Below are 24,555 nucleotides of genomic sequence, written 5' to 3'. Positions count from 1 at the left end.
GCAGGGGAGAGACAGCGAGCGCTACAGGGCGGACCCGGGCCGTGCGCGAGGAGAGACGGCAAGGGAGGTCCCACGGGCCCCCTAACACGCACGGACACCCCAGCCGGTTGCTTGCTGGTCTTTATTGGGGCGATGCTTGGGGTCCGAATAAATATGGGAAGGGGCGCGAGCTGGGGCGCGTCCGGACCCTCGGGGCAGGAGTCCGCGCGGCGCAGGGGTCACCGGCAGCCACACTCGGTGGCCACCATGTTGGGCACGTGGTGCGCGCTGATGCGCTCCTCCGACAGGCTGATGAGCAGCTTGCCCGCGTAGGCGGTGGGCACGCAGCAGGGTGGGCGCGCCAGGGCGGCCCCACGGACCTGCATCTTCAGCAGCAGCACCACGTGGTTGCCGTAGCGCGGGTTGCGGTCGGACTGAGGCCAGCCGCACACGCCCTGGCAATTGTTGGCCTGGTAGGTCTCGGGGATGAGTACGGAGCGCTCGGCGCGGAGGTCTACGCTGAGCTCGCGCAGCGCGCACGGCCCGTCGGCGGCGGTGGCCCCCGCGCTGCGCTGTGCCCGACCCGGCCCGCGCGGATCCCGCCCGCGCCACTCCACGCGCAGGCCCTGCAGCGCCTTCAGGAGCAGCAGCGCTCGCAGGGGATCGCCGAGGCCGCCGGGGCCACCTGGGCAGAGCGCGAGCAGGCGCGCCAGCAGCGGGGCTGTGGCCGGAGGCAGACCCGGGAGGCTTCGCAGCTCGGCAGCCGCCGCTTGCAGTTCAGCAGCCACGCGGCGCGCCAGGGCCGTGGCCCACGGCGCCGACGTGGGGTCGTGCAGGGGCGCAGGATCCCCGGTGGTGGCCGCAGTGGGCCTCAGCAGCAGCAGCAGCGGCTCCTCGCCGTCGAGTAGGCGCTCCAGCGCCGCGGGGTCCGACAGGTTGACTAGGCCCTGCGGGAAGCCGGCCAGCGCGTCCGGATCCAGGGCCAGGCGCGGCGCGGAGGCCCGGGCCGGGGGGACCCGCAGCGCCCGCACCAGGCGCGTGAGCGTCTCCAGGAAGGGGTCTGCGCTGGGTGGCGACTCCTCGAGTTCCGCGGATGGCCTGGAACCCGCAATTGGAGGAGTTGAGAGCGGCCACGAGGCCACGCCGCCCCCGCCCGCTCCTGCCCCGTGTCCCGGTGCCTGCGCGCACCTGGGCGGCGGGAAGGGCACGGTGTCCAGCTGGCCGTGCGCAGGCAGCGGCGCGGGCTCGGACCGCGGCAGCAGGAGCAGGGCCGGGGTCATCCGTGTGAAGCAGCGGTGGTCGTCGCCGAACAGCAGTGCCTGCAGCCGGGCGGTACTCAGCCGGGAGTCTGCGGTGGGTGGGCACGCGGCTGGCTCAGGGGCTGGGGGCCCGGGGGCAGTCGACCCGGCTCCCCGTCCCTCTCCACGCGGACCTACCCTCTCCGCGGGGCTGCAGGGTCAAGGCCAGCCCGGAGCCGCGCCAGGCCCCCGCAGGGCGGTCCACCGCTAACACCAGGTAGCGGGTGTCTCGGGAGGGGCAGAGGCTCTGCGGAGACCAGGGCTCAGCCCGGCTGGATGGAGGCTTACCCAGCCCCGCTCTACCGGTCCCCTTCCTCCCATCGCCACTGGTTCTACGCTGTTCTCAGTACTGCAGACCCTGCAACAAATCCATGCCCCCCGCCACGGCCCGGGCACTGCCCCATGCAACTCCCTGGTACCTGGGCACCCGGCAGCCCAGCCCTCGTCACAGTGACCTCAGGGCCAGGCCCAGGGTACAGCACCAGCAGCGCCAGCTCTGGGGGGCCAGCTCCTCCAGGCGGGGGCTCCTGGAACCTCAGCGAGGGTGTTGGCTCCCAGGTCACTGCAGCCGGGACAGCAGGGGACGCCTGAGCCATTGAAGGCCACACCCCCCGGGAATCTTTGGGATCTGTCCCTGCCGCTCTGGCCACTGTGCAGGGGACCTCAAGCGGGGGACAAGGGTGCCCCTCTTAGCTGCCTTCCTGCAGCCAGGGAGCGGTGACGGCAGGGGCAGGCAGGGGCTGCGTCTGAGGCTGTGGGTGGGGCTGCCGCCCTGGGGTCTCTGGGTTGGGGTGCCCGATGAAGCCCCTTCCCCGCAGGGAGTATCTTAGGCCAGCGGCCCTGAGAACAGGCTGGGGCTGTGGGAAGAAGGGTTCCACTGGCCCCGAGCCCTGCGTCGTCTTCAGGGGTGGGGAGAAGGCAGCAGCTCTCTCCCTGGCACCGAGGCAGGGGCAAGTCTAAGAGCTGGGCTTCGGGGACAGGACAGAGTGTGGTGCCCACCTTCCAGGCCACGGACCCGCAACCCAGTCCTAGGAACAAGACCACAGCCTCCCTGCCCAGGGTGGGGGCTCTGCCAGCCCCTGATCTTCCCTAGGAGGACCCGGCCCACCTGAAGGAAGACGGCGGTGCCAAGCTTGGGGCTGGGCCCCACATACCTTCCTCCAGGTGTAGGACCACCAGGCGCTGCCCCCCAGGGTCCCGCAGCCAGGCCCCCAGCCGCCGTAGAGAGGGCAAGGCAGCCTGCCTGTCACCGGTGTTGCAGACCCCGAAGGTGGCCAGGTCTCGGGGGCCCCAGCGGGCCCTCTGCACGGCCCCCAGGAAGGCCTGCTCATAGGCGCTTAGAGCCCCCACCACCCGCAGGGGGGAGCTGCTGCCATTGCTGTCCCCGCCCAGTGCCACCAGGCACAGAGGCTCTTGTGGGCTGCCTGGAGGCCAGTCCAAGTCTTCTCGGAAGATGAGGCCACTGGTGCCCACAGCTGGCTCCTCTGCTCTGAGGGCCTCAGTCCCCAGCAGAGCCCCCAGGGCAGACAGCACTAGGGCCAGGCTGGTGAGAGGCAGGTCCCGCATCGTGGGTGCTGCCAGGGGCTGGGCTGCCTGCCTTAAGTGAGCCGAGTGGAAGGTGGGGTGTTTGTGCAGGACAGACCCCTATCTCCTCTGCCGCGACCTTGGGGGACAGTGCCCGGCGCCCCCACTCCAGGCAGAGTGGCCTTCTCAAAGAGCCCTTTCTGTCCCTGGCAGCCTATCTCCCTCCCCAGTGATAGAGCTGGGCCTGATGTGTCAACATGCCGTCCTTGAGGGCCATCCCCAGAAGACACAGGAGTGGGAACCAGGCTGGGAGTGACGGCCAGGCAACCAAACTAGACAGCGCTGGGGGCGGGGGGCCCAGATGTCCTGGGTGCTGAGGTGTGGGCCTGGAGGAGGAGGGTCCCAAGTCAGTGGGGGCGCCCTGTCCCTGCTCACCCTCCCCACCCCTGGTGGGCTATCTGGAGACCCCAAGGATATCGTGGAGTCTGCTCTTCCCTCCCCAGAACAGGACCCCAGATCCCCTCCTAGCTGGCTGGTGGGGTCTGTCCTCCACCAGGCCATCTCCAAGGTACAGCCATCTCTCAGGCCTCCCACAGGTGTCTCCTGGCGGGCCCCAGGCCCTCCCCAGTCGGCCCAAACTGGGGGATGGTGCTGTGCCTGGCACTCCCACACACACTGACACAGTAGGGCGGCGCTGCGGACATCAGTGCACTCAGGGCTGGGGGAGGCTGTTTAATGAGCGGGGGGCAGTACAAAAGAGCAGCCTTCTCTCAGTGGGAAAAGGCAAGAGCACCTGGCGCTGGGCTTGCTGGGGGAGGGAGCAGCTTCTCAGTTGGTTGGGGGAGGGGGAGGTATGTTCCCTGGGCCTTCGGAGGGAAGTGGGGGCCTCAGCATTGGGGGCATGGGAGTTGGGGGGTGCACCCCAGGATTTGAGGGGTGAACTCCCGGAGGCTGAGGGTGGACCCCAGGAGCCGACGGATGGACCCCGGGAGGTTGGGGGTGGACCCCCGGGGCCTGAGGGTGCATCCCTGGGGCTGGTGGGTGCACCCCTGGGGCCTGAGGGTGAACGGCGGGGGCTGCTGGGTGCACCCCCGGGGCCTGGGGGTGAACCCCCGCTGATGGGGGAGGATGGACCCCTGGGGCTGGTGGGTGAACCCCAGGGGCTGGTGGGTGGACTCCGGGGGCTGGTGGGTGAACCCCGGGGGCTGGAGGGTGGACTCCAGGAGCTGGGGGGTGGACCCCAGAGGTTGGTGGGTGGACCCCAGGGGCTGGGGGATGGACGCCAGGAGCTGGGGGGTGGACGCCAGGAGCTGGGGGATGGACCCCAGATGCAGGGGGATGCACCACTGGGGCCGGGGGGTGGACCCCTGGAGCTGGCGGGGGTAGCTGGGGTGGTCCCGGGGGCCCTGAGGGCGCAGGCCCTGTGGGGGGCATGGGTGGCAGAGGCAGGCCTCCTGGCGGGGGCGGTGGCAAAGACTCAGGCAGCGGTGGCCGAGGGGGCAGACCGTTCATCAGCGGGGGTGGAGGCCGCTTCACCCCAGGGGGGCCAGCAGGGAGGCTGGGTGGAGCCGGGGGCTTCTCCATCTTAAAGTGGAACTGGAGGAAGAACTAGAGAGACGGAGAAAGGTTCAGCAGGCACGGGTGGGGCTAGGGCAGGGCTAGGGCCGCCAGGGCTGGGTGGGAAGGAGCCAGGCTCGGGGCGAGCCACTCACCTGCTTGGTCTCCCGGTTCCAGTGTGTCCAGAACTTGCCCTCCGCCTTGTCGATCTCTCTGCTCGGCACCTGGGAGGGCGGGGGACAGAGAGGGCTCCTGGTCCCTGTGACCTCAGGGCGACCATCAGGCAGGGAGCCCGAGGCACTAGCCTCCCCAGCCCGGACTCTACCCTGGGAGCCCAGGAGAAGGCTGGTAAGACTTTCGTGGGGCACAGGGTTCAGTTCTGGAGTGAAACAGACCTGGCCTCAATGCTAGCACGCTGTTGGCCCCCTCCCTGGGCAGTCACCGTTTGTATTATTTGTTTCCTGATGGCCGCCCTGTCCAGGCATGGGGACAGGCTGTAGGAAGCCCTCCAGCAGCCTGGCCCAGGAAGTGAGGTCACTTGGCAAAGGCCTCACAGGCCTGGCGCTCAGCCCTGCCGGCCTCCCTTCTCATTGGCCCAGTGGAGCCCAAGCAGGCCCTCCTGCAGAGCCCAATGGGAGAGGTGCCCTGCCCGGCCTGTGCAGACCCTTCTGGCTCCGACTTGGGGGGGGCCCAGGGGACCCCAAGCCCGATGGGAGGGGCATCCTGCCCAGCCTATGCAGATCCTTCTGGCTTGCACATCTCAAGGGGGCCCAGGGAACCCCGCAGCCACGCTACCTTGAAGGCAATGGTCTCGTAGGGCTCGGCGGCCATGAGCAGGTACTGCCAGCGCCGGTCCGGAGGCTCGATCCTCTGCTCGTACGCAGACATGAAGCGGTGACGTGGCATGATGCCCTCGGCGATCTCAGGGTAGTCAATCTGCAGGGACACGGCCGGGTGGCAGAGCCGCCTCTTGGGTGCCTTTGGCCGCCCCCCACGCCCAAGTCCCTGATCTCACCTGGAAGAGGAGGCTCTGCTGGCCCATCTCCGAGTCTCTCTGCTTGGTCACTGCAACACAGAAAGCTCTCAGGTCCCGGCTGCTTGTCCTCTCCGAAGCTGAGGAACCTGGGGCAGGCTAATGCCACCCACTGAACGAGAGCGGGACCCCGGGGGAGGCCCTGCAGCTCTGGCAACCATTAGACAATCTCCGCCCAGGCTCTGGGATTCTGGTATAGGTGAAGGCACAGGTGCGCCAGAGCTGAGCTACCTGCGGAGTCACTCAGGCAGGGACCGAGGATGGTGCTCCTTTGTCCCAATCCCCAGAGCCCTTCACCAGGGGTGCTGGGATACCACCCAGCAGGAGTTGGGGCCACTGGGTAGGGAGGGGCCCTCGGCACCCTGGCTCTGGGATTCGAGCGGGGCCGCCTGAACAGGGCTGACACCATGTATACGGTGAGCGAGAGAGGATGCCCTTCCCGCCAGAGCTCAGCAGCCTGGACCCCGAGAATGGCTGCTGGGCTGCCTGCCGCCCGGCCACTCTCCATGCGGCCTCAGACACGCACACTCACAAGCCCTCTGCCGCCTCACCGTCCTGAGCCCAAGCCCAGGACCTGTCAGGGCCTCCCCACCAGGAGCCTGCCGCTCTAGCCACCCTCGCCCACCCGGTGCACCTGCCCCGGGACCTCTGCCCTGCAGGCTTCTGTCTGGAGGCCAGGCACACAGGCTGTCCCCGCCTTCTGTAAAGAACACTTGCTGGGTAGCGTGCCCGCCTTCCTGAACCCTATGGACACAAGTCTCTATCTTCCACCCTGGTCACTTCCCCAGCTTTCTGAACCGGGGTCACCTCTAGCCATTCCCACTGCTGAGGGTCCGGGAGGAGCTGCCTCTAACAGCCGCTTCTCCCTGTCCTCCTTCAAAGGCTTCAAGGTTAACCGGAGGGATGTGCCAGGGCTCACCACACCTCCACTTCCACTCTTTTGCTTGGCAAGAATTCCCAGAAGCTTCCACAAGACCCGGACAGGAGGGCACAGACTGTGGCTCAGCTGGGAAATGGGCTGCTGGGTGAGATGGGTGCTTATCGGGCCCAGCCTGACAGCTCCCAGACACAACGCCAGAGGCTGCAGGTGGGTGAGGGACGGCCACCAAGGCCGGAAAACAGTGGCTCAGGGAGGAGGCTATCAGGGCTGCACCTCCCGCACTGGAGACTAAAGAACACACTTATGTCACGGCAGCGGCTGTGGCCGGCCCCGCTGCGGGCAGACTCACCTTTGTAGCCCGGGCGGCCGATCTTCACAAACTTCTTCACCTCCACCTTGACCTTCTCAGGCGCGGGCTGGGCAGGGGCCTCCTTGGCCTCCTTGGCTGCTCGCCGGGCCCTGCGGACAGGATGGAGGTGCTGCTGGGACCCCTCCACACACAGGCACCAAAGCCATGGGCCCAGGTGCCAGGAGCCCCCTGACCTTGGAGCTCACTACAAGCTGAGAGATGAGGAGGGCCAGGGGCCTGGGAGGGGCCCTGGGGTTTGGCTGAGGACAGGGATAGGACAGGCATGTTCTCTTCCTGTCATGCTCCTCACTGTCCCTGGCTGGGGCCCTTCCAACAACTCCATGCCTCTGCTCTTTTTTTTTTTTTTTAATAAGACAAGAGTCTCACTCTGTCGCCCAGGATGGAGTACAGTGGCAGCACCTTGGTTCACTGCAATCTCTGCCTCCCAGATTCAAGATTCTCCTGCCTCAGCCTCCATAGTAGCTGTGATTACAGACGTGTGCCACCATGCCTGGCCTAATTTTTGTATTTTTAGTAGAGATGGAGTTTCACAATGTTGGCCAGGCTGGTCTCGAACTCCTGACCTCAAGTGATCTGCCCGCCTCAGCCATCCATGCCTCTGTTCTCTAATGCTCCCCAGGAACCGTACTCAAGCGCCCAGGGAGGCTCAGGCCAGGCTGGCTCCCCGGCTGTGGAGCAGTGGCCCGCGAGGCTCACAGAGACTTGAGCCAACGGCTGCTGGAGCACCAGGCATCAAAGGGACATGAGGTACTCACAGGTTGGTCTGGTGCTTCTTCCCCTGCGTATGTGCCAGGTAGCTCCCCTGGAGTGGAAAGGAAACACGCATGACTCGAGGCCGGGCGGACAGACACAGGCAGGTCCCCCTGACGTCAGCCACTCAGCCCGCCGCGAGCCGCCCGGAGCCAGGCAGAGGCCGCACCTCATTGTTGTGAAGTGTCAGGCAGAGTTTGCATTCATAGGAGCCCAGGTGGTTCTTCATGAAGTACGGGTCCTGGAGGGGAAGAACAGGGGCCCGTTAGACAGAAGATCGCGGCCTGCTGCCGTCAAGGCCCTCAGAGGCGGGATCCCCTTTCTGTAGAGGCATGGAGGCAGAACCCCCCTTCTGTAGAGGCATGGCTACCGCTGACAGTGGTCAAGCATTTCTGAAAACGGGGGATCCAGCGGGAGGCCTTCGTGAGCACGGGTGTCACCACCTGGGGCTGTGGGCCAGGCTTCGAGCAGTGGGGGTTCCCAGGGAGCCCCCGACACCACCTTCCTGGTGGTTCTGAGTCAGAGGGAGGCACAGCCAGGACAGCACCGCCGGTCACTCCCGAGGCAGGGAGCCGTCCACTGCCCACGCCACCACGCCAGCAGTAGGCACAAGGCAGACACAGGCACAAGAAAAGCAAATGGGCTACACTGAAGACCCAAAGACCCGCCCATCTGCAGGCCCTAAGCTGGGGCAGCCGGGCGCACACATCTCGTCTCAGACGCTGGAGTTCAAAGTCTAACTCCACCATCTGCGGCTGTGGCACCCCCTCTACCCATGACCTCATCTGGAAGACGGGGACGGTAACAGAGCCCTTGCCATAGGCCAGGCCCGTGGGGCATGTCAGGGTACACAAAGAGTGCTCCAGCCCCGATGTCCACGGTGCTGAGGGGACTCGGCTCACCCCTGCCTCTGCACAAGCTAAAATCAAAGGCTGCCCTTCACCACATCTGGCTGGACTGACATCAGCTCTCCCCACTCCCAGAAAATTAAATAATGCAAAACAGAAGGCTGTGGACAGAACAAAACATGTCCACATGGGACTCAGAGCCACAGAGGGTCTGCTCTCTGGGGTGGACAGATGGGAGCTGTGGCTGCTCGGGGGCAACAGGGGAGCGTCTGGACACGGGGCTGCATCGCCCAGCCTGGGCGGAGGCCCAAGAAGAGCCTCTGGCACCCTCTCCAGGGCTGCCCTGGAAAGCCCAGCACCCACCACAGGCAGCTGCACGGTGGCTGGCCCACCTTGTTGATGTCGATGGTCTCCAGGGCCAGCTGCCGGAGGCGCTCCCTGCGGTCACGGTTGCTCTCGGAGGAGGAGGCCACGCCCCCGCTCCCGGTCTTGCCCCCGGGGCGATGCTGGAAGTCCATGGTGATGGCCTTAGGGCTTTAGCAGACTGGGAGACACCTGTGGAGGCCAAGAGGAGAGTGAGGAAGATGGCTCAGAACTCGGGGCTGCTGCTGGGACCTCCCTGGGCGGGCTGGGCTGGAGCCCTCGAGACTGCCCCTCACCCTGCACTCCCAGCGCCAGGGTCTAACCAGCCCTGAGGGGGCCACCCCATAGCGCACCCAGTCTCTTCCAGGAGGCTGAGGCCCACTGTGGACAGGCACAGACACAAGGAAGCTGGAGCCTGTCTCCAAGTGACCAGGCATGAGGGATGGAGAGGAAGCCGCTCCAGCCCAGGGTGCCAAGGCCTGGAGACCTGAAATTGTAATAGGGAGCCCAGAGAAGGCATAAAGGGAAGACAAGACCAAGATCTCACAAACGAGTCACCACCTCCAGGAAGCCATCCCGGACTGCCCAAGCCCCTAGTGTTCACGCCTTCCTCTGAATTCCCTCTCTGGTTGGCTACGCTTACTTGTCCCAACCTAATCTCTTGGGCTCGATGTAAATTTGTTAGGCGGAGATCAGTGAGGACACTGATCTTCGCATCCTCACTGAGTAACACCTGGGAGATCTGCCACATCTGCTTGTGGCGCAGGGGGCTCTGCTGAGTCCCCAACATCCTCTTCCTGATGCAGGCCTCTGCCAAGGTCTCCCACGCCCTTTCAGGCTCTGTGCAAATCTGAGTTCCAGGCAGCCTCCTCTCATCTCCTGGTAGTCTTTCCCTTGCCTGCTCAATGTTGGCCCCGGGCCCTGGTTTAAGGGTCTTGGGTGAGCTCAGAGAGATGGGGCCCATGAGACTGAGTGAATCACTGCCCCCAAAAGATGTCCACATCCTAATCCCTGGGACCTGTGAACATGTCCCCTCATGGCAGAAAAGGGATGTGCAGGTGGGCTTGAGGATCTTAAAATGGCAGGTGATCCTGGGTGACCTCATGAGAGGAGGCGGGAGGCTGAGAGTCAGAGAGGCTGCGCTGTGGCTGTGAATGGGGAGGAAGGGGCCCCGAGGCAAGGCACACAGGTGCCTCTGGACACTGGGAAAGGCAGGAAACGAGTTGTCCCCCAGAGCCTCCAGAAGGAATGGAGCCCTGTGGACTGTTTGGACTCTGACCCCAGAACCAGAAGCTGATACAGCCGTGTCATCTGAACTACTGCGTCTGCAGTGATGTGTCACAGTGTCTGCAGGTGTGCAGGGGCACGCTGAGGGACAGGGCACAGTGGCCGCAGGTGTGCAGGGGCACGCTGAGGGACAGGCCACAGTGGCGGCAGGTGTGCAGGGGCACGCTGAGGGACAGGCCACAGTGGCCGCAGGTGTGCAGGGGCATGCTGAGGGACAGGCCAGCTGTACTGCTGACTTGTGGTGGGGCCTGAAGTCACCCCTTACTCTATGGGGGCCCAGGAGCCCTCCCCAACCAGTTTTTATTCCCTGGGCAAGTTTATGAAAATGATCAAGCATGGTAACTGGTGAGGTGGACCTCCCAGCTCACTGCAGTATCACGGCTGCCCCATCAGAAGTTCAGATGTCACAAAAGCCCACCTAGAGATGCCCATTTTTACATGTTGTCACGTAAACTTCGAGAAACCACCACTGTGACCATCGCCATCCCTTCACAAAACAAAGAACATTCCAGTGTGAAAAAGGAGACTGTGACACCAGAAGGACTGTCCTTTGCTGGGAACGCCACCCTCTGGCCCCAAGGAACCCTCCCCGCCTCGGGCTTCTTGGCCACACATTCTTCAGGACCAGGGAGAACTGCACCCTCTCCATGCTGGCGCCGTCAGCTGCAGGCCACGCCAACTCCTACAGTCCCTGCTGCCACAACAGCTTACAGCTGCCTGGGAGGTTCTGTCTCCGGACGGCCCACAGGCGGGCAGGATTGTGTGGGTGCCGCCCGGACAGGTTCATGAAGTGCCTCATTTTTCTCTGGAGGACATTCAAGCATTTCCTGGTCAAGTGACATGAAACTCACATCAGGGGACGTGCGTGGGGAGCCCAGCAAGCAGCCTCCCACCAGGCCGCAGCCGCACTTGCCTCTCCACACATCACAGAAACCACAGTCCTCCACGCATCTCAGCACCGAACCAAGCCCTCGCTCGGGGGAACGTGTGAGAAGGCAGGGAATCGGCCTTCTTTCACGGATGCACTCCAAGAACCCAGGAGGGGCCTGGTGCTGAGAGGCACTCCCACACACAGATCTCGGGGCGTCATCAAGCGCTCCCCTCTCCCGGGAGGACGACCTGCTCCTTTCGTCATGAAGGAATTCAACAGCATGCGAACGCCCTGCTTGTCCCTGTCGTGGCCTCTCCTGGACCACGCCCCTACTCTGAGGCTAAGCTCTGCAGAGCCATCACTGGTCTCTACCCCCAAGCCTGCACTCTCCACAGCGCCCACCCATGCGTCCTCATGGCCGGCAGCTTCTGGCAGAGAGAAGAGCAGTGGGTGGGACGTGTCTGCGGAGGACCCAGGGCCCAGGAGGAGCGGAGCTCAGCCTCAGGAGCGACCTGCGCTTTGCTCCTCCATGCGGAAGAGGCAGCACAGCTTCTGGGGCCAGGACAGGTGCAGATGGCCACACCAAGAGCCACCAATCTATCTTGATGCACTTATTTCCGGGCACATTTTAGTGACATTTCCAGAACGTTCTAATGACACGATGGCTGGGAGGACTTGGAGAAGGAACTTAGATGGCAAAATGCTAACAAAGCCAAGAGTTCAAATCCATCTAGGGCAAGCCAAGTTACTTCTTAAAACTGGCCAGACAGAACGCCCCAGCGGCCAGTGGCTGGCTCAGGACACAAGCTCCAGCTGTCACAGGGAGCACCTGTGGAGTCTGGCCCACTGAAACCTAAACCCAGACCAATACTCAACCACTCACCAAGTAAAGCTCTGATCCGAAAACCAGAAACCATCCGAACCCAAGCCATCGCAGCCACCGAACACCCACACTGTCCCTCCTCAGCAGCTGAAATGGGGCGGCACCCCGGGGAAGGTCCCACGCTCGGATCGCCCACAACCCTCGAGGAGATCAGAACTTTATTCCCAGAAGAACTGGTATAAAAGGGCCTCTAGAGTTAGAGAGACAGGCCCAGCAGAGCAAGGGGGTCCAGGGTCAGGCTGAAAAGGGGGGACTGAATCACGACCTGCCGCCTGGGCAGCGGGAAGTCTGGCGGTTCCTCCGCACAGCTCAGGTGGCAGGCGGCCCAGCACGGACGCCCCCCACCCCGGGGGAGGCCAGGAGTCTTTTCCGGGGAAACAGCGCCAGAGGAAGAGTTCTCAAATACTGACATTCAGGGTCCCCACACCTCAAAGAAAAGGCCCGCTCCTTGCCAGGCCACTGGGCAGTTGACCTCCCTGGATGAGAAGTGGCGCTCACACAGAGCTGCCGGCCGCTTTGTTCTTAAAGAGAAACACACGCATCCGAGAACAAAGAGACTGATGGGTATCCCAGTAAGAGATCGCTGACACCCTCCTTCATTATCGGGGGAAGCCACTGCACCACAAACCCAGAACAGGAAGCTGAATGACAAGCTGAATTAAAACAAAAAGCCCTTGAAAAATACAGACAGGACGATCCAAACAAAAAATTCCATACCAGAGTTGGAAGCTGAGCCAAACAAATCTTTCATAAAGGAAAGTCAAAAGTTAAAAAAACAGGAGGAAAAGCAAGAACCTAGAGGACATTCCAGAGTGAGAACTGAAAAAACACCCAACAAAATAAAACAGGAAAAATATTATCACAGAAATAACATAAGAACATTAGCAAGAAAATTAAAAACAAAAACAAAACCCAGGACTAAAGGAACCAAACTGTCCAGATACCAAGCACCCACCAGGATCAGCAAATAAAAAGATCCCCGGTAAATGAGGAAATCAGGAAATTTTACGACACCAAGGAAGATGTTAAGCTTCTACTAGACAGAAAGACAACTGAGCAGAAAACATCAGAAACCAGCATAGGAACTGATCTTTTGAGAACAGCACTGAAAACAATGCTTTCACAGTTCTGAGCAAATACAGATTTTTTTCTCTCTCTTTTTTTTTTTTTTTTTTTGAGACGGATTCTCGCTCTGTCGCCCAGGCAGTAGCTCGATCTTGGCTCACTGCAACCTCCACCTCCCAGGTTCAAGCCATTCTCCTGCCTTAGCCTCCCGAGTAGCTGAGATTACAGGCACATGCCAAAACGCCTGGCAAATTTTTATATTTTTAGTGGAGATGGGATTTCGCCAGGTTGGCGAGGCTGGTCTCAAACTCCCAAACTCAGGTCATCCGCCCGCCTCAGCCTCCCAAAGTGCTGGGATTACAGGCGTGAGCCACCACGCCCGGCCTACAAATACAGATTTTCAATCTAGATTTTTATACCCCACCAAACTTCTAACTATGAGGGTAAATAAACTCGTTTTCAGACAATCAAGGACTTCCCCCACCCCCCGAAAAAAATCATCTGTTTCTTCAAAAGCTCCCAGAAGTTTTGCTCGGACAGCATGAAGGGAAAGAGATGACCACACTGGAAACAGAGGTCAGCACAGGGGAGCAAGGACAGGAAGGTTTGGGACAACAGCTCCACTTCCAGGTCAGAGCACAACCAGTCCCATTTGGAGGAGGAGGATAAGGGGGTCTTGGAGGGAAGTGGTGAGGGGAGATCAATTTATTTAAACCTATGCAAAATACAACTGATAGGTGTGTGAGAGGTGGGAGCTTTGTGGGGAAAAAACAAACAGCAGGTAAAAGAAAATCAGGCTCATGGTAAAAACAAAGTTAATTAGCTTTAAGGGAAGATAGAATGGTACAAGAAAAGCCTAGCTGAACATATTACTTGTTTTAGCAGCCAACAATATTTTGCATCTTATTTAGAAAACACAACCAATGACCAACTATGCTCATGACATAAACTCATTCAGGATATGGAAGGTGAAGGTGCAGTGGGTGGATGGGAGGGAGAAGATCTCAACAGCCGTGACAAGAAATCAGCAGATGATGTCTACAAATTGATAAATCCATGAAGAAATCTGTTACTTACTAAGGTAAAGATCAGGGGACAGCCTGGCCAACCTGGTAAAACCCCATCTCTACAAAAAATACAAAAATTAGCCGGGTGCAGTGGCTCATGCCTGTAATCCTACCACTTTGGGAGGCCGTGGCAGGTGGATCACCTGGTCAGGAGTTCGAGACCAGCCTGGGCAACATGGCGAAACCTCGTCTCTACAAAAAATACAAAAATTCGCCGGACATGGTGGTGAGCACCTGTGATCCCAGCTACTCGAGAGGTTGAGGCAGGAGGATGGCTTGAGCATGGGAGTTTGAGGCTGGAGTAAGCTGTGATTGCACCACTGCACTCACTCCAGCCTGGGTGACAGAGCAAGACCCTGTCTCAAAACAAACAAAAAACCGATGACGACCAGGGGAAATGAGCTTAAGAATTGAGGAAAAGTGGCCTCTGGGACCTGGGACTAGACCATTGAGAAGGAATTAGTTTTTCGTGGCAACACCGTTCTCTCCTTAACCTAGCCAACAACCTATTTTCCAGAGCTCCGCCTGGCTGTTTGGTGTCGTCCAAGGATACACAAGAACAACGGTCACAGCGGGGTGCACCTGCAAAATGGGGCCAGCTAACGTGTTCTGGTCGCCTTTGGCATGATGTTGAAGCCGTCACTCCCATTTTAAGGGAACTGAGGCTCACAGGAATTACATCACAGAGCCCCAGTCAACTAACAGGTATAGATGAGCATACAGAAGCGTTCTCGGCTACAAGGAAGGCGGCCGAAACCATTTCAGCCGCGATCCCGATTCGACCCCAACGAATCTTGGTTGTTTCTTTTTTATTTTGTCAAACAGGGTCTTGCTCTGTTGTCCAGGCTGGAGTGCAACGGCACAATCACAACTCACTGCAGCCTCGACCTCCTGGACTCAAGCGATCTTCCCGCTTCAGCCTCCAGAGTAGCTGGGACTACAGGCGCGCGTCACCAACCACGCCCGGCTAATTTTTTTTTTTTTTTTTTTTGCAGTGATGGGGTCTCGCTATGTTGCCCAGGCTGGAGTGCAGTGGTGGGATCATGGCTCACTGCAGCCTCGACATTCCGAGCTCAAGCGATCCTCTCGAGTAGCTGGGCCTACAGGTACAACCACCACTCCTGGCTAATTTTTTAAAATTTTTTGTAGAGATGGGGGTCTCGGTGTGTTGTCCAGGCTGGTCTCGAACTCCTGGCCTCAAGCGATCCTCCCGCCAAGGCCTCCCTGAGCAGTGAGATTACAGGCGTGAGGCCCCGCGCGCGGCCTCCCAACAGGAGTTTGGAAATAGAGTTCCTGGCGGGCCCGACCCTCCAGGCCCGCCCAGCGCGGGGCCTCAGGATGCACAAGGCCGGACGCTCACGGGAGGAGGGAGGGGAGCGACGCCGCCGCCCCACCCTCGGCCCGCGGCCTGTCGCAAGCGCCTCTCTCCTACGTCCGCTGTCCCCCAGGGAACCCCCGGTCCGCGTCGGCCGCCGCCCTCAACCGCCTCTACTCCTCACCAGAGCCCAAGGCCGCGTTATCTCCTCCTCGTTTCGCCACCTCCACGACTTCGTTTGGCGAACGGCGGGCAAAGAAAGCACTTCCGGGGCAAATGAGACGGGCCCTCTGGTGTGCGCATGCCTGGCCCGCCCAGCGGCGTGAGTCAGAGGGTCCCGAGGCGCGAAGGAAAAGGCTGGAGGGGGAGAGGCTGAAAGCGCGGCCTGGAAGGCAAACTGCGCGTGCGCACAACGCTCTCAACGAACCCTCGGTCCGCTGCGGCCGCACGGGGCCAACTTTCGCGAGGGAGCGGCTGACACTCTCCGGGCGACGTTATCGCTCCCTCCGCCTGCGCCTGGCCGCTCTAGAAAGGGGTGCCAGCCATCGCTGGGGTGCCTTGATTCTGTTCCACCTTGGTCCGGTTTATTTCAGTTTAATGGTTATGTAACAACGGTCCGTCTCTCCTACCAACCGGTACCCCGCCCACGCCAGCAGCCACGGGTCGCCAGCGCCACGCAGCGGAGGCGGGCGGCATGGCTGGCCCAAGGTGCGCAGGCGCACTAGCCCTGGGGGTGCTTCCGTGTCTGCGCCCTGAGACATTTTTGGCGCCGGCCCCAGCCTGAGCGGGGACGGCGGCCGGGAGGGCGCGGCCCGGGTTCCCGTTCCCCGCGGAGCCATGCGGTACAACGAGAAGGAGCTGCAGGCTCTGTCCCGGCAGCCGGCCGAGATGGCGGCCGAGCTGGGCATGAGGGGCCCCAAGAAGGGCAGCGGTGAGCGGGACCCGGGAGACCGAGACAGTGCCAGGGGCGGGAGGCCGGGGCCGGGGTCTGGGCGGGGGTGCCGGAGGCCGGAGTCCGGGTCGGGGCGCCGGGGACGGGAGGCCGGGGTCCGGGCGGGGGCTGCCTGCGCCCCTGAGTGCGCGCTGTGCCCGCAGTGCTGAAGCGGCGGCTGGTGAAGCTGGTGGTGAATTTCCTCTTCTACTTTCGGACAGACGAGGCCGAGGTAGGGGCGTCCCGGGCGCGCGGGCGGGTCCCAGGCTGGGCCCCTCGGAGGCCGGGTGCTCACTGCCCCGTCCCGGCGCCCGTGTCTCCTCCAGCCCGTCGGAGCCCTGCTGCTGGAGCGCTGCAGAGTCGTCCGGGAAGAGCCCGGCACCTTCTCCATCAGTGAGTGGGGCTAGGGAAGCCAGCGGCGCTTCCCGCAGCCCGGGGCACCCGCAGCGCCGCACTTTCCCCTCCCCGGGCGCCCAAGGTCTCCTCTGTGTCCCCAGCCTGGCGCCACCCTCCTCAAACACAAGAGTGCATTGTCCACGGGCAGCTCAAGGTCAAGTTCTCCTGGCGGGCACCACCCTTCCCACCTGCCGAGTCCACTTAAGCTTGGGTCCCTCCCAGACTCTGCTCTTTGTTCCCTGTGGGCCCAGGCTGTACTTACAGGGCAGGTGGGCCAGCCCCACCCAAAGCGTTTCCCCAGCTGCCAAGAGTAGCATGGGTCTAGCATTGTTATATGGCCCCGGGCTGGAAATCCCAGGTGGGGGTAGGAGGAGTGAGAGGGGGGTGTTCTCCTGGGTCTTAAGAGATTCCCTTCTGCGGGGAAAGATGGAGTCCCTGCTAGTTTGCCCAGAGTGGCTGTCAAAATTCCACAGGCCAGGTGGCTTAAATATCAGAAACATTCTCTACAGTTCTGGAGGCCAGAAATCCTAGATGAAGGTGTGGGTGGGGCCGAATCCTTCTGAGGCCGAGGGGAATCTCCCAGTTCCTAGTGGTGGCCAGTATCCTCCAGGTTCCTTGGCTTGTGGAAGCGTCACCTTGTCCTCCTTGCATCACGTCTGTGCCCACATTTCCCCTTCTACACAGACGCCAAGCAGAATTTAGGGCCCACCCTGACAACCCCTTTTTACTTCACTTTATTATTTTATTTGCTTATTTTTTGAGACAGGGTCTTGGTATGTCGCCCAGGCTGGAGTGCAGTGGTGCAATCTCGGCTCCCTGTAACTTCCCCCTCTCGGGTTCAAGTGATTCTCCTGCCTCAGCCTCCCGAGTAGCTGGTACTACAGGCACGCGCCACCATGCCCAGCTAATTTTTGTATTTTTAGTAGAGACGGGGTTTCGCCATATTGGCCAGGCTGCTCTCGAACTCCTGACCTCAGGTGATCCTCCCACCTCGGCCTCCCAAAGTGCTGGGATTACGGTCTTGAGCCACCGTACCCGGCCCTCTTTATTTTTGAGACAGGATCTTTTGTTTCCGAGGCTGGAGTGCAGTGGCGTGATCACAGCTCACTGCAGCCTCAACCCCCTTGGCTCAAGCAGTCCTCCCACTTCTGACTCCGGAGTGGCTGGGCCTACAAGGCCCCACCACCACACCTGGCTAATTTTTGTTTTTGTAGAGATGGGGATTTTGCCATGTCACCCAGGCTGGTCTCGAACTCCTGAGCTCAAGCAATCCTCCCACCTTGGCCTCTCAAAGCGCTGGGATTATAGGCATGAGCCACCGCACCTGGCGACAACCTCATTTTGACTAGTTTATATGCAAAGACCCTGTTTATATACAGGGCCATACTCATGGGTTCTGGGGGGTCAGGACATGAACACATCTTTGTGGGGGCCAGAGAAGGGACAGTTTATGGGCAATGGCAAGAGGAAGCTGCTTGTGGCTGTGGGTAGGACCGACCACAGGTGTTCCATCCCCAGGCTTCATTGAGGACCCTGAGAGGAAGTATCACTTTGAGTGCAGCAGCGAGGAGCAGTGTCAGGAGTGGATGGAGGCTCTGCGTCGGGCCAGGTGGGGCCAGGCGGTGGTGGGCACTGCTGGGGTGGGCACAGCAGCCATGCAGAGCGGGCATTTGACCCCGTGCCACCCTTTTCCCCAGCTACGAGTTCATGCGGAGAAGCCTCATCTTCTACAGGAACGAAATCCGGAAGGTGACGGGCAAGGTGTGTGCAGGGCTGCAGAGGGCCGGGGTGGGGCTGCAGGTGGCAGAGGCAGTCCTCCAGCCCTGGCTCATGGCCACCCGTCCTCCCCACAGGACCCCCTGGAACAGTTCGGCATATCCGAGGAGGCCAGGTTCCAGCTGAGTGGCTTGCAGGCGTGAGCGCAGGGCACGGTGGTCAGCGTGCAGCGGGACGGGACTGGCCCTGCCCAGCCATGAATCGCTTGGCCATGCCTGGATCTGTTTTGTTTTGGTTTTTGGTTTTTGGGTCAGGGTTTCACTGTGTTGCCCAGGCTAGAGTGCAGTGGTGCCACAGCTCACTGTGACCTTGACCTTCTGGACTCAAGTGATCCTCCTGCCTCAGCTTCCCAAGTAGCGGGGATCACAGGCATGAGCCGCCACACCCGGCCATCACACCTGGATTTTCAGTGGGAGGTTTTTGGTTTGGAGACATCCAAAGCCTGAAGCCAGGTGGGTGTGGGCAGGGGCTGCATTTTATGAAACTGCCCAGCAAGCTGCGCTCCCTGGGGCCCCAGGATCCACCTAACTGGCCTGGCACCTGGTGCCACGTGCTGCTGCCGCCAGGATATGCGCCTTCCCACAGGTGCCCTGCCTGAGTTGTGTGCATCCAGGGGCCTGGTGAGCCCCCAGGCTGGTGGCATGGCCCCCCTGCCCCGTGCTGAATGAATGTACAGAGCCAGACAAAGCTGTGAATGGCCTAGGGGCTGAGTCCCACACCAGCTGTGAATTCTCCTGCAGACAGGAGGGCCCTGGCTGTGCACCTGGGGAAGTGGTTGCCCTGGGGCCAGGGTGCTTGTTCTGTTCAAATAAAGGTACCTCTTTTCCACACTGGATGGCGGTGAAGTGAAGGAGAGGGGAGGGGCAGCCAGGGAGCCCCCACCCAAGGGAAGTAAGGCTCAGGGTCCTGAGAGGCAGTGGCTGGGCCTCCTGCACTGAGGGGAGAGCTAGAACCCCCAGCCAGGACAGGTGGAGGCTGGGACCCAGGCCTGGGGAGAACAGAGCTGCTGTGTGGTATCAGGAATCCTGTGGTGACCTGGGGTCCTGCCTCTGGCATTCACGGGCCCTCCCGGAGTGTGGCTGGGGCCTGGGCGGGCTTTGGTCCATCTGATGTGAAAAGGACTTTGCCGATGTCATTGGGGTCGCAGATCTGGTTTTCCGTTCATCAAAAGGCACTTTGCCTGTGGCCTGGTGCCCTCATAAGCCTCCCCTTGCCTGTGGCCTGGTGCCCTCATAAGCCTCCCCAAGGCCAGGGTGTCCTGGTGTCAGCCCCCGGAGCTTCTGCTAGGAGCACCCCTAGGCCCTCCACTCCCCGTTTCGGCGATGACACACTAGCCGGGGCCTCTCACTGGCCGCCAGGAGACGCCTCATGCCACCTGGAAGAAAGGCTGCCATTCACACCAGGTCCGAGTGAAAACAGTCTGTTTATTACAGCGTCTAGAGGTGGGGATGCAGAATGCAGGGGTGCCCAGAGGAAGGGGCGCCTGCAGCCCAGGGGCGGACCGTGACAATGCGCGCAATCCAAATACAGTTCACCCGGAAGACACGGCAGAGCCTCCCACGTTACAAAGGCTGACACAGACCAGCAGCGTGTTGTGTTGGGAGGGGGGTCTGACCACGATGGCGAGGGCAGTCGGCGGGGGGTGGGGGGCCTGCTGACCACTGAACAGACTGACGCATCCTGGGGGCAGATAAATTAAGGGGGAAGTCTTAAATAAGTCACTGTGCGTGCCTCATGGGCCGAGGAGGGGGTATCCTAGTTTTTAGGGTTCCTATCAATTCCTGAGCAAGAGCCACTCCCAGGCGCCGCCCGCCCACCCACAGTCAGCAGCAGCAGCACAGGTCCCCGCCAGCTGCCCACGGAAACTCAGGCCAGGTGCCAGCACCAGGCTCCAGATCCCCAGTCTCCACAGCCACCCTGCCACCCGCCACACACCACCCCTCAGTCTGGGAGTGTCTGAGAAGAACACAGGCCCAGGGCTCAGAACAGGAGGGTGTCCGCAGGCAGCCACCACACTAGTTCACGTGTGGTGACACGCATATGACCCAGTGGGCTCAAGGAGACTTCTGCCTGGGCCAGTGGCTCTGAGACCCAGTGCGTGTCCTGAACATACGGTGGCCTGCGTGGGCAGGAGCCCTGCATGGCCATCTGCAGGACCCGTGATGGCACCCGGACTGCCACTGTCACCTAGAGGGAGGCAGAAGTAATACAGTGTTTAAAGAATGTGTCTTGTTCTAGACCAGGGACTCGGCCGTCTCTGCCATCAACCCTGTGGCGTATCCGGCCCGTGGCGACACAGAGCAGGCTGCCTGTCCTGAAGGCCAGGCTCGGGGCTTGGGGCTCAGGCAGAGGCACAGCACCTTCTAGCTGAGAGCACCAACGTGGGGTGGGGAGGGCACTGGGCACCACTTAAGAGGACAGGTCCGGAGCACCATCTTCAGAACTCAGCTATGTTGGAGGGTGGGGGTCTGAGAGGTTGTTGGGGGCTGGGGGAGGCAGCACCCCCCTCACCAGGCACAAGCAGGGGTCTTCAGGCCCTCCCACACAGGACTCCCCCACCTAGCAACCACAGAAGCCTTTCCTCCGTGGCTCCCTTTGGAGGCCACGTGGTAGGGATGTGACGTGTGTCCATCCTGCCCTTGGGAACCAGAACACAGGGCTGGCAGCTCCCTGGAGGGTGGATCTGTGGCACCTTGGGGAAGGGGCTCCCCGATGCCATCTCACAGGAGCAAGCACTTGAGAAGGTGGGCTCAGCAAGTGCCACACAGCCCAGGGCCAGATGCGGGGAGCTCAGACTCCCAGATCCCATCCTCCAGGGAGGGCACAGAGCCACCACTGCTCAGACAACCCAGGCCCTGACTGCTCAGGGCTCCAGAAGCACTGGAGTGGCCCTGCCTGCCTGCTACACCCCGGCCTCAGCTCCTCTCCTTCCACACCCAGTCCCAGGCACCCGCCAAGGCTGCAGAGTGGGGGGCCGACGTCACCCTGGGGCCTAGGGCCAGAGAGGCCAGGTTTCAGCAGTGCACCCTGGCCCCAGCACACCCACAGCAGCTGGGAGAACCAGCACAGGCTCCAAGGGATGGGTGCCAGGCGTGGCCCTGACAGGAAGGGATGTGGGGCAGGCAGGGGCGCCGGCAGCTCTGTCTGGGCTGCTGGGAGCTGCAACTGAGGGGTCTAGGGTCGGGGCTGACGCTGGGGCCATTTTGTGCACTGTTTGAATAAATAAGGTTTTTTCCCCTCGCTTTTCTTTCCTCTTCACTGTGCATTATACCATCTAAAAATAAAAGCTGTCAAATCTATGAAATTTATAAATTCTCATCACATCTCTATAAAATACTGCCACTCATTAGTGTGACTCTCTCCTGTACAGAAACACCAAGGGACCCACGACAGGCCTGCCCCGCATCGCAGGGCATGCTGCGAGCCATGGACAGCCGAGAAATACAAAAGTAAATGCACTTGTTCAACGTGCCCGCGCCGTCCTCACAGCACCATCGCGCAGCACATGGCCAGCTGCGTCACCGCGCAGGCCCCTTCACATGCAAGGGCGCAACCCACGCCCCGGAGGGTGAACAGTCTGGGGGTTCACAGTGCCGGGGTAAAGGTGAAGAGCTCAGGGCAGGCGCCAGGGCGCTCAGGAAGGGGCTCAGGCCGCGGGGAGGCCTCCGAGGAATGTGGTGGCGACGGGCCTGCCTTTGGTACGGGAGCAGCGCGTCGGGGGAGCCGGCCGGGCGGCGTTTCCGAGAACGGGGTTCGGCGTTGTCAGCGTCTAGTCAGCACCAAGCGGGTGGAGGCAGGCGCGGGCCTGGGGACGAGATAGCACCGGGGCAGGCTGTGGCGAATCCGCTGGCGGGCCCGCCCTGCAGACACGTGTCTTTATATAGAGCTCTCATATATAGATATTTATATTTCTCAATAAGTTGCCTTTTACCACTTAGATGGAATAAAATAAGTCAGAATTGTTTATACTTTTTAAAAAATGATAAATACTTTATCTAAAACTATCGACAGTACAAACTGGACCAGTCCCAGCCTCCTGCGGCGCGTGCCGCCGATTCACAGTGGAGCTCCCGTCCGTCCTTGCCTCTGCCGTCCAGGGGTGGGAGCCCGGCAGGCCGGCGGGCACCATGCCGCGGGCGCGAGTTGGTCCACACCGTCCTTGCATAGGTCTCGCGGTTGAGGTAGAAATCCTAGTTACCTGCAGAAGGGCACAGCGGGAAGAGCGGCCTGAGGTTACCATCGCGCCTGGGGGAGCCCAACACTCACCCAGGCTGGGGACCGAGGCCTCCCACGAGCACACACGCCACCTGGGGCCAGCACCATGACAGGCATAGTGCCAGCTCCTCTAACCACAACAGACGACGGGCGTGCCCCGTGACAGACCAGGGAGCCTGACACCTGGACACGCCGGCCAAGCTCCAGCCTTCCTCCAAAGGAGACACACAGCCGAGTCCAGCTAAAGCCACCCTACCTGCAGCTCATCTCCTAAGAGACCCAGCATAGCTTGTCCAGCCCGCAGGTGCCCGCATTGACCCGCCAGGCTGACCAGCCCTGGCCACAGCCTCCGCCTTGGCTCCTGGCTCCCAGTCCTCCTCTCCTTGCCCGGTGGGCTTTGGACTCGCCCAGGAAGGCCTGTGTCCCAGGGGCCCCTGAGGCAGAAGGCCAGGGGCAAGCAGAGGGCACCTTTGCACTACGCCGCCAGGCACGCCATGTCCCTGGAGGGCACGGGTGGCCAACTGCCCTCAGGGGTCAGCGGCCACAGTCTCCACAGCCTCTTGGGGGAGGAGTGAACAGGACATTCCCTGAAGGCCTCACATCATCAAAATCACTCCTGCTTCCAACTTCCTTCTGGTCTCAAAGGTGGGCACCGTCTACACTAACCTGCCCAGCTTGGTGCTGACATCTGAGCAGCTGAAAGCCCCTCGGCTGTGGGCCATGACCACAGGGCAGTGTGGCCATCAGCCGTGTCCAGCAAGGGGGCCTCAACACGCAGGGCACAGAGCTTGCCTCTCGACCCCGCCGGGAACCCATCAGCCCCCAGGCAGGCAGGGCACTTGGGGCTTCACTGGCTCCCTATGAGGGCATCCGAGGCTACTGGCCAGACAGCCCCGACCAGAGGCATCCAGCCAGCCACCCTGGCTCTCCAGGACCTCTGCAGCCGGCACCGTGCCTGCTACATGCTGGGCGCCTGGGGAACAGCACCAAGCCACGCCACCCGTCATGAGTGACCTGGGCCTGGTGCGGATGGAGCCCTGGAGACTGCTCTAGGAGCTAGAGCTCCCAGCCCCCTGGCCTGGCACCCCGTGAGCCTCGCCCACAGGGGCTGGCACAGCTGCCCCCAGGGCTGGCCTCAGTCCTGCGGCGTCACCGCAGGAACCCAGCTGCGGGCAGCTGGAACCCAACACACTCAGGCCACTCCATGGCTGGTGCCCGTCCTGTAGTCCCTCCTCTCGCGACCATCTCCCTGGTCTCCCTGGCTCTCTCCCTCTTCCCTCCTCAGGACCCCCGGAACTTCTGCCGAGCCCTGTGGCCGTCTTCTCTGCCAAAGGAAGGACAGTTCAGTGTCTGGAGTGAGCCACCGCGCAGGGCTCTGGCCTTACCTTACACAATACGCACTGCTAGCTAAGCAAGGTCTTTATCGCGGCTTAACCCCCGAAAGGTGCGCGGCATAGGGAGGCGGCATGCCGAGGGACACCCACACCGCGGACGGCCCCGTGGCGCTGGCCTGTGGGATCCCGGGCGCGGCCTGGGCCAGGGCCAGCCGGGGCAGGGGCTGGTGGTGCACCGTGAAGGAGGGGCGGGCGCCCTTGTGCGGGAGGGAGGTGAGCTTGATAGACAAAGAGGCGTTAGCAGGCGGCAGAGAGGCAGCAGAGGTGGGGGGCAAGAAAGCTTGGTTAGGCGGGAGGGACGCGAGGCTCTGCAGAAGCGCGGGCTCAGGGTTAGAGGCCAGCAGCGTTGGGGGAGGAGGCAAGGCGGCGTTAGGTGGAGGGGGGGCGTGGAGGACGGGCGGCCCCGCGGGGGACCGGCCCAGGTGCGCAGGCGGGGGCAGCGGGGGAGGCGGAGGCGGAGGCGGAGGGGGCGGCCGGGTCTCAACCGAGGCCGGGGCCTGAAAGGAAGAGGCCGAGGCGCTGGCCGCCGCCTGCAGCGGGCTCGGGCCCAGTGTGGCGCTGCCACATGCAGCCCCGCGGCCGACACGGGCTCCAAACGGATGAGCAGAGGCGGAGGGCACCGCGTGGTTAAAGACACCTGCAAATAGGAGAGAAAAACGCAGCTTCAACAAGCGGCAGCATCCAGGCAAGCGCAGAGCAGCAGCCGCAGGCTCACAAAAAGGGAAGCGAAACGGCGCCGCCAGGCGTGTGCGG

The 24,555-nt window shown here is 61.8% G+C and overlaps 4 protein-coding genes and 3 non-coding genes across 15 annotated transcripts in view, besides 37 other annotated features; 3 read left to right on the top strand and 4 right to left on the bottom strand.

Moving 5' to 3' along the window:
- AMH (anti-Mullerian hormone) lies at positions 103-2,853 on the bottom strand. Its single transcript, NM_000479.5, has 5 exons — positions 2,432-2,853; positions 1,697-1,839; positions 1,416-1,524; positions 1,168-1,327; positions 103-1,077 (listed from the first exon to the last, which is right to left on the bottom strand). The coding sequence occupies exons 1-5, from the start codon at positions 2,841-2,843 to the stop codon at positions 219-221; spliced, it is 1,683 nt and encodes a 560-aa protein (NP_000470.3). The 5' UTR covers positions 2,844-2,853; the 3' UTR covers positions 103-218.
- MIR4321 (microRNA 4321) lies at positions 1,458-1,537 on the bottom strand. The gene has a single exon (NR_036207.1). It is a non-coding gene; the product is annotated as a microRNA 4321 (primary transcript).
- Positions 1,471-1,530: a silencer, noted in NCBI's record as "silent region_9776". NCBI's record gives its function as "represses an Ori minimal core promoter by ATAC-STARR-seq in GM12878 lymphoblastoid cells {active_cell/tissue: GM12878}" and the evidence as "EXISTENCE:reporter gene assay evidence [ECO:0000049][PMID:35858748]".
- Positions 2,771-2,910: an enhancer, noted in NCBI's record as "active region_13667". NCBI's record gives its function as "activates an Ori minimal core promoter by ATAC-STARR-seq in GM12878 lymphoblastoid cells {active_cell/tissue: GM12878}" and the evidence as "EXISTENCE:reporter gene assay evidence [ECO:0000049][PMID:35858748]".
- Positions 2,771-5,842: a biological region, named in NCBI's record as "AMH 5' regulatory region". NCBI's record gives its function as "regulatory_interactions: AMH".
- Positions 2,844-2,875: a promoter, noted in NCBI's record as "-22 to +10 basal promoter; hMIS Inr". NCBI's record gives its function as "basal promoter" and the evidence as "EXISTENCE:reporter gene assay evidence [ECO:0000049][PMID:10993829]".
- Positions 2,844-2,875: a protein binding site, noted in NCBI's record as "hMIS Inr". NCBI's record gives the evidence for it as "EXISTENCE:protein binding evidence [ECO:0000024][PMID:10993829]".
- Positions 2,844-3,053: a promoter, noted in NCBI's record as "-210 promoter". NCBI's record gives the evidence for it as "EXISTENCE:reporter gene assay evidence [ECO:0000049][PMID:9815658]".
- Positions 2,844-3,123: a promoter, noted in NCBI's record as "-269 promoter". NCBI's record gives the evidence for it as "EXISTENCE:reporter gene assay evidence [ECO:0000049][PMID:10677509, PMID:10993829]".
- Positions 2,844-5,842: a promoter, noted in NCBI's record as "SacI/AvrII fragment for -3068 promoter". NCBI's record gives its function as "cyclic AMP responsive promoter" and the evidence as "EXISTENCE:reporter gene assay evidence [ECO:0000049][PMID:12554789]".
- Positions 2,875-4,909: a promoter, noted in NCBI's record as "StuI/AflII fragment for 2 kb promoter". NCBI's record gives its function as "drives expression in the gonads" and the evidence as "EXISTENCE:transgenic organism evidence [ECO:0001131][PMID:1331774]".
- Positions 2,898-2,912: a protein binding site, noted in NCBI's record as "SRYe site". NCBI's record gives the evidence for it as "EXISTENCE:protein binding evidence [ECO:0000024][PMID:7985018]".
- Positions 2,900-2,913: a protein binding site, noted in NCBI's record as "-55 to -49 FOXL2 site". NCBI's record gives its function as "positive regulation of promoter activity" and the evidence as "EXISTENCE:protein binding evidence [ECO:0000024][PMID:24973035]".
- Positions 2,922-2,927: a protein binding site, noted in NCBI's record as "proximal GATA site". NCBI's record gives its function as "positive regulation of promoter activity" and the evidence as "EXISTENCE:protein binding evidence [ECO:0000024][PMID:10677509]".
- Positions 2,936-2,956: a protein binding site, noted in NCBI's record as "SF-1-BS". NCBI's record gives its function as "positive regulation of promoter activity" and the evidence as "EXISTENCE:protein binding evidence [ECO:0000024][PMID:9774680]".
- Positions 2,950-2,982: a protein binding site, noted in NCBI's record as "MIS-117". NCBI's record gives the evidence for it as "EXISTENCE:protein binding evidence [ECO:0000024][PMID:9815658]".
- Positions 2,980-3,007: a protein binding site, noted in NCBI's record as "SOX-BS". NCBI's record gives its function as "synergizes with Nr5a1 to positively regulate promoter activity" and the evidence as "EXISTENCE:protein binding evidence [ECO:0000024][PMID:9774680]".
- Positions 3,008-3,040: a protein binding site, noted in NCBI's record as "MIS-175". NCBI's record gives the evidence for it as "EXISTENCE:protein binding evidence [ECO:0000024][PMID:9815658]".
- Positions 3,016-3,021: a protein binding site, noted in NCBI's record as "distal GATA site". NCBI's record gives its function as "positive regulation of promoter activity" and the evidence as "EXISTENCE:protein binding evidence [ECO:0000024][PMID:10677509]".
- Positions 3,048-3,065: a protein binding site, noted in NCBI's record as "-206 to -200 FOXL2 site". NCBI's record gives its function as "positive regulation of promoter activity" and the evidence as "EXISTENCE:protein binding evidence [ECO:0000024][PMID:24973035]".
- Positions 3,062-3,071: a protein binding site, noted in NCBI's record as "distal SF1 site". NCBI's record gives its function as "positive regulation of promoter activity" and the evidence as "EXISTENCE:protein binding evidence [ECO:0000024][PMID:10677509]".
- Positions 3,224-3,238: a response element, noted in NCBI's record as "VDRE (vitamin D response element)". NCBI's record gives its function as "mediates response to vitamin D and calcitriol" and the evidence as "EXISTENCE:reporter gene assay evidence [ECO:0000049][PMID:19056816]".
- Positions 3,224-3,238: a protein binding site, noted in NCBI's record as "VDRE". NCBI's record gives the evidence for it as "EXISTENCE:protein binding evidence [ECO:0000024][PMID:19056816]".
- Positions 3,224-3,238: a protein binding site, noted in NCBI's record as "VDRE". NCBI's record gives the evidence for it as "EXISTENCE:protein binding evidence [ECO:0000024][PMID:19056816]".
- Positions 3,521-15,352, bottom strand: SF3A2 (splicing factor 3a subunit 2). The gene is made up of 9 exons (NM_007165.5): positions 15,275-15,352; positions 8,632-8,794; positions 7,561-7,632; positions 7,397-7,443; positions 6,621-6,730; positions 5,374-5,423; positions 5,154-5,294; positions 4,514-4,582; positions 3,521-4,409 (listed from the first exon to the last, which is right to left on the bottom strand). The coding sequence occupies exons 2-9, from the start codon at positions 8,755-8,757 to the stop codon at positions 3,630-3,632; spliced, it is 1,395 nt and encodes a 464-aa protein (NP_009096.2). The 5' UTR covers positions 8,758-8,794; positions 15,275-15,352; the 3' UTR covers positions 3,521-3,629.
- Positions 4,605-4,634: a response element, noted in NCBI's record as "estrogen response element; -1780 to -1751". NCBI's record gives its function as "estrogen response element" and the evidence as "EXISTENCE:reporter gene assay evidence [ECO:0000049][PMID:2325025]".
- Positions 4,613-4,626: a protein binding site, noted in NCBI's record as "estrogen response element". NCBI's record gives the evidence for it as "EXISTENCE:nuclease protection assay evidence [ECO:0001106][PMID:2325025]".
- Positions 4,765-5,842: an enhancer, noted in NCBI's record as "SacI/NheI fragment for -3068 to -1921; contains putative AP2 and NFkB binding sites". NCBI's record gives its function as "mediates response to cyclic AMP" and the evidence as "EXISTENCE:reporter gene assay evidence [ECO:0000049][PMID:12554789]".
- Positions 4,965-5,466: an enhancer, noted in NCBI's record as "H3K4me1 hESC enhancer chr19:2246709-2247210 (GRCh37/hg19 assembly coordinates)". NCBI's record gives its function as "activates a minimal SCP1, AML or CMV promoter by ChIP-STARR-seq in naive H9 embryonic stem cells {active_cell/tissue: H9 hESC(naive)}" and the evidence as "EXISTENCE:reporter gene assay evidence [ECO:0000049][PMID:30033119]".
- Positions 6,096-6,596: an enhancer, noted in NCBI's record as "H3K4me1 hESC enhancer chr19:2245579-2246079 (GRCh37/hg19 assembly coordinates)". NCBI's record gives its function as "activates a minimal SCP1, AML or CMV promoter by ChIP-STARR-seq in primed H9 embryonic stem cells {active_cell/tissue: H9 hESC(primed)}" and the evidence as "EXISTENCE:reporter gene assay evidence [ECO:0000049][PMID:30033119]".
- Positions 8,261-8,838: an enhancer, noted in NCBI's record as "H3K4me1 hESC enhancer chr19:2243337-2243914 (GRCh37/hg19 assembly coordinates)". NCBI's record gives its function as "activates a minimal SCP1, AML or CMV promoter by ChIP-STARR-seq in naive H9 embryonic stem cells {active_cell/tissue: H9 hESC(naive)}" and the evidence as "EXISTENCE:reporter gene assay evidence [ECO:0000049][PMID:30033119]".
- Positions 9,296-9,493: a silencer, noted in NCBI's record as "fragment chr19:2242682-2242879 (GRCh37/hg19 assembly coordinates)". NCBI's record gives its function as "represses an EF-1alpha promoter that drives an FKBP-Casp9 reporter gene in an ReSE screen in K562 erythroleukemia cells {active_cell/tissue: K562}" and the evidence as "EXISTENCE:reporter gene assay evidence [ECO:0000049][PMID:32094911]".
- Positions 9,712-10,006: an enhancer, noted in NCBI's record as "tiled region #2271; HepG2 Activating DNase matched - State 5:Enh". NCBI's record gives its function as "activates a minimal TATA promoter and a strong SV40 promoter by Sharpr-MPRA in HepG2 cells {active_cell/tissue: HepG2}" and the evidence as "EXISTENCE:reporter gene assay evidence [ECO:0000049][PMID:27701403]".
- Positions 11,707-12,444: an enhancer, noted in NCBI's record as "OCT4-NANOG-H3K27ac-H3K4me1 hESC enhancer chr19:2239731-2240468 (GRCh37/hg19 assembly coordinates)". NCBI's record gives its function as "activates a minimal SCP1, AML or CMV promoter by ChIP-STARR-seq in naive H9 embryonic stem cells {active_cell/tissue: H9 hESC(naive)}" and the evidence as "EXISTENCE:reporter gene assay evidence [ECO:0000049][PMID:30033119]".
- Positions 15,067-15,166: a silencer, noted in NCBI's record as "silent region_9775". NCBI's record gives its function as "represses an Ori minimal core promoter by ATAC-STARR-seq in GM12878 lymphoblastoid cells {active_cell/tissue: GM12878}" and the evidence as "EXISTENCE:reporter gene assay evidence [ECO:0000049][PMID:35858748]".
- Positions 15,215-15,823: an enhancer, noted in NCBI's record as "H3K27ac hESC enhancer chr19:2236352-2236960 (GRCh37/hg19 assembly coordinates)". NCBI's record gives its function as "activates a minimal SCP1, AML or CMV promoter by ChIP-STARR-seq in naive H9 embryonic stem cells {active_cell/tissue: H9 hESC(naive)}" and the evidence as "EXISTENCE:reporter gene assay evidence [ECO:0000049][PMID:30033119]".
- Positions 15,587-15,636: an enhancer, noted in NCBI's record as "active region_13666". NCBI's record gives its function as "activates an Ori minimal core promoter by ATAC-STARR-seq in GM12878 lymphoblastoid cells {active_cell/tissue: GM12878}" and the evidence as "EXISTENCE:reporter gene assay evidence [ECO:0000049][PMID:35858748]".
- Positions 15,777-16,406: a silencer, noted in NCBI's record as "silent region_9774". NCBI's record gives its function as "represses an Ori minimal core promoter by ATAC-STARR-seq in GM12878 lymphoblastoid cells {active_cell/tissue: GM12878}" and the evidence as "EXISTENCE:reporter gene assay evidence [ECO:0000049][PMID:35858748]".
- Positions 15,847-22,195, top strand: PLEKHJ1 (pleckstrin homology domain containing J1). Of its 3 annotated transcripts, none has more exons than NM_001300836.3 (6): positions 15,847-16,021; positions 16,186-16,253; positions 16,348-16,414; positions 17,936-18,026; positions 18,115-18,178; positions 21,564-22,195. In NM_001300836.3, the coding sequence occupies exons 1-6, from the start codon at positions 15,928-15,930 to the stop codon at positions 22,011-22,013; spliced, it is 834 nt and encodes a 277-aa protein (NP_001287765.1). In that variant the 5' UTR covers positions 15,847-15,927; the 3' UTR covers positions 22,014-22,195. The 3 variants fall into 3 exon arrangements, with proteins under 3 accessions (NP_001287765.1, XP_016882417.1, NP_060519.1); XM_017026928.2 differs by lacking the exon at positions 21,564-22,195 and adding an exon at positions 18,271-19,023 and having other exon boundaries at positions 16,243-16,253; NM_018049.3 differs by lacking the exon at positions 21,564-22,195 and adding an exon at positions 18,271-19,023.
- On the top strand, positions 16,250-16,347 carry MIR6789 (microRNA 6789). The gene has a single exon (NR_106847.1). It is a non-coding gene; the product is annotated as a microRNA 6789 (primary transcript).
- Positions 16,432-17,040: an enhancer, noted in NCBI's record as "H3K27ac hESC enhancer chr19:2235135-2235743 (GRCh37/hg19 assembly coordinates)". NCBI's record gives its function as "activates a minimal SCP1, AML or CMV promoter by ChIP-STARR-seq in primed H9 embryonic stem cells {active_cell/tissue: H9 hESC(primed)}" and the evidence as "EXISTENCE:reporter gene assay evidence [ECO:0000049][PMID:30033119]".
- Positions 17,043-17,622: an enhancer, noted in NCBI's record as "H3K4me1 hESC enhancer chr19:2234553-2235132 (GRCh37/hg19 assembly coordinates)". NCBI's record gives its function as "activates a minimal SCP1, AML or CMV promoter by ChIP-STARR-seq in primed H9 embryonic stem cells {active_cell/tissue: H9 hESC(primed)}" and the evidence as "EXISTENCE:reporter gene assay evidence [ECO:0000049][PMID:30033119]".
- Positions 18,027-18,114, top strand: MIR1227 (microRNA 1227). The gene has a single exon (NR_031596.1). It is a non-coding gene; the product is annotated as a microRNA 1227 (primary transcript).
- The window catches only part of DOT1L (DOT1 like histone lysine methyltransferase), a 68,646-nt gene continuing 63,688 nt past the window's right edge, over positions 19,598-24,555 (bottom strand). For 5 of the 7 annotated variants that reach the window (NM_001411141.1, XM_011528359.3, XM_047439514.1 and 2 more), the window contains one exon: positions 19,598-24,439. In NM_001411141.1, the coding sequence (NP_001398070.1) occupies positions 23,829-24,439 (611 nt within the window). In that variant the 3' untranslated portion in view covers positions 19,598-23,828. The remainder of the gene's footprint in view (positions 24,440-24,555) is intronic. The other 2 variants (NM_032482.3, XM_047439515.1) reach the window with 1 other exon arrangement.

Source organism: Homo sapiens, chromosome 19 (genome assembly GCF_000001405.40).
Source record: "Homo sapiens chromosome 19, GRCh38.p14 Primary Assembly".
NCBI lineage: Eukaryota > Metazoa > Chordata > Mammalia > Primates > Hominidae > Homo > Homo sapiens.
The sequence above is the reverse complement of the archived record's forward strand: the minus strand, read 5'-3'. Positions and strand labels throughout refer to the sequence as shown.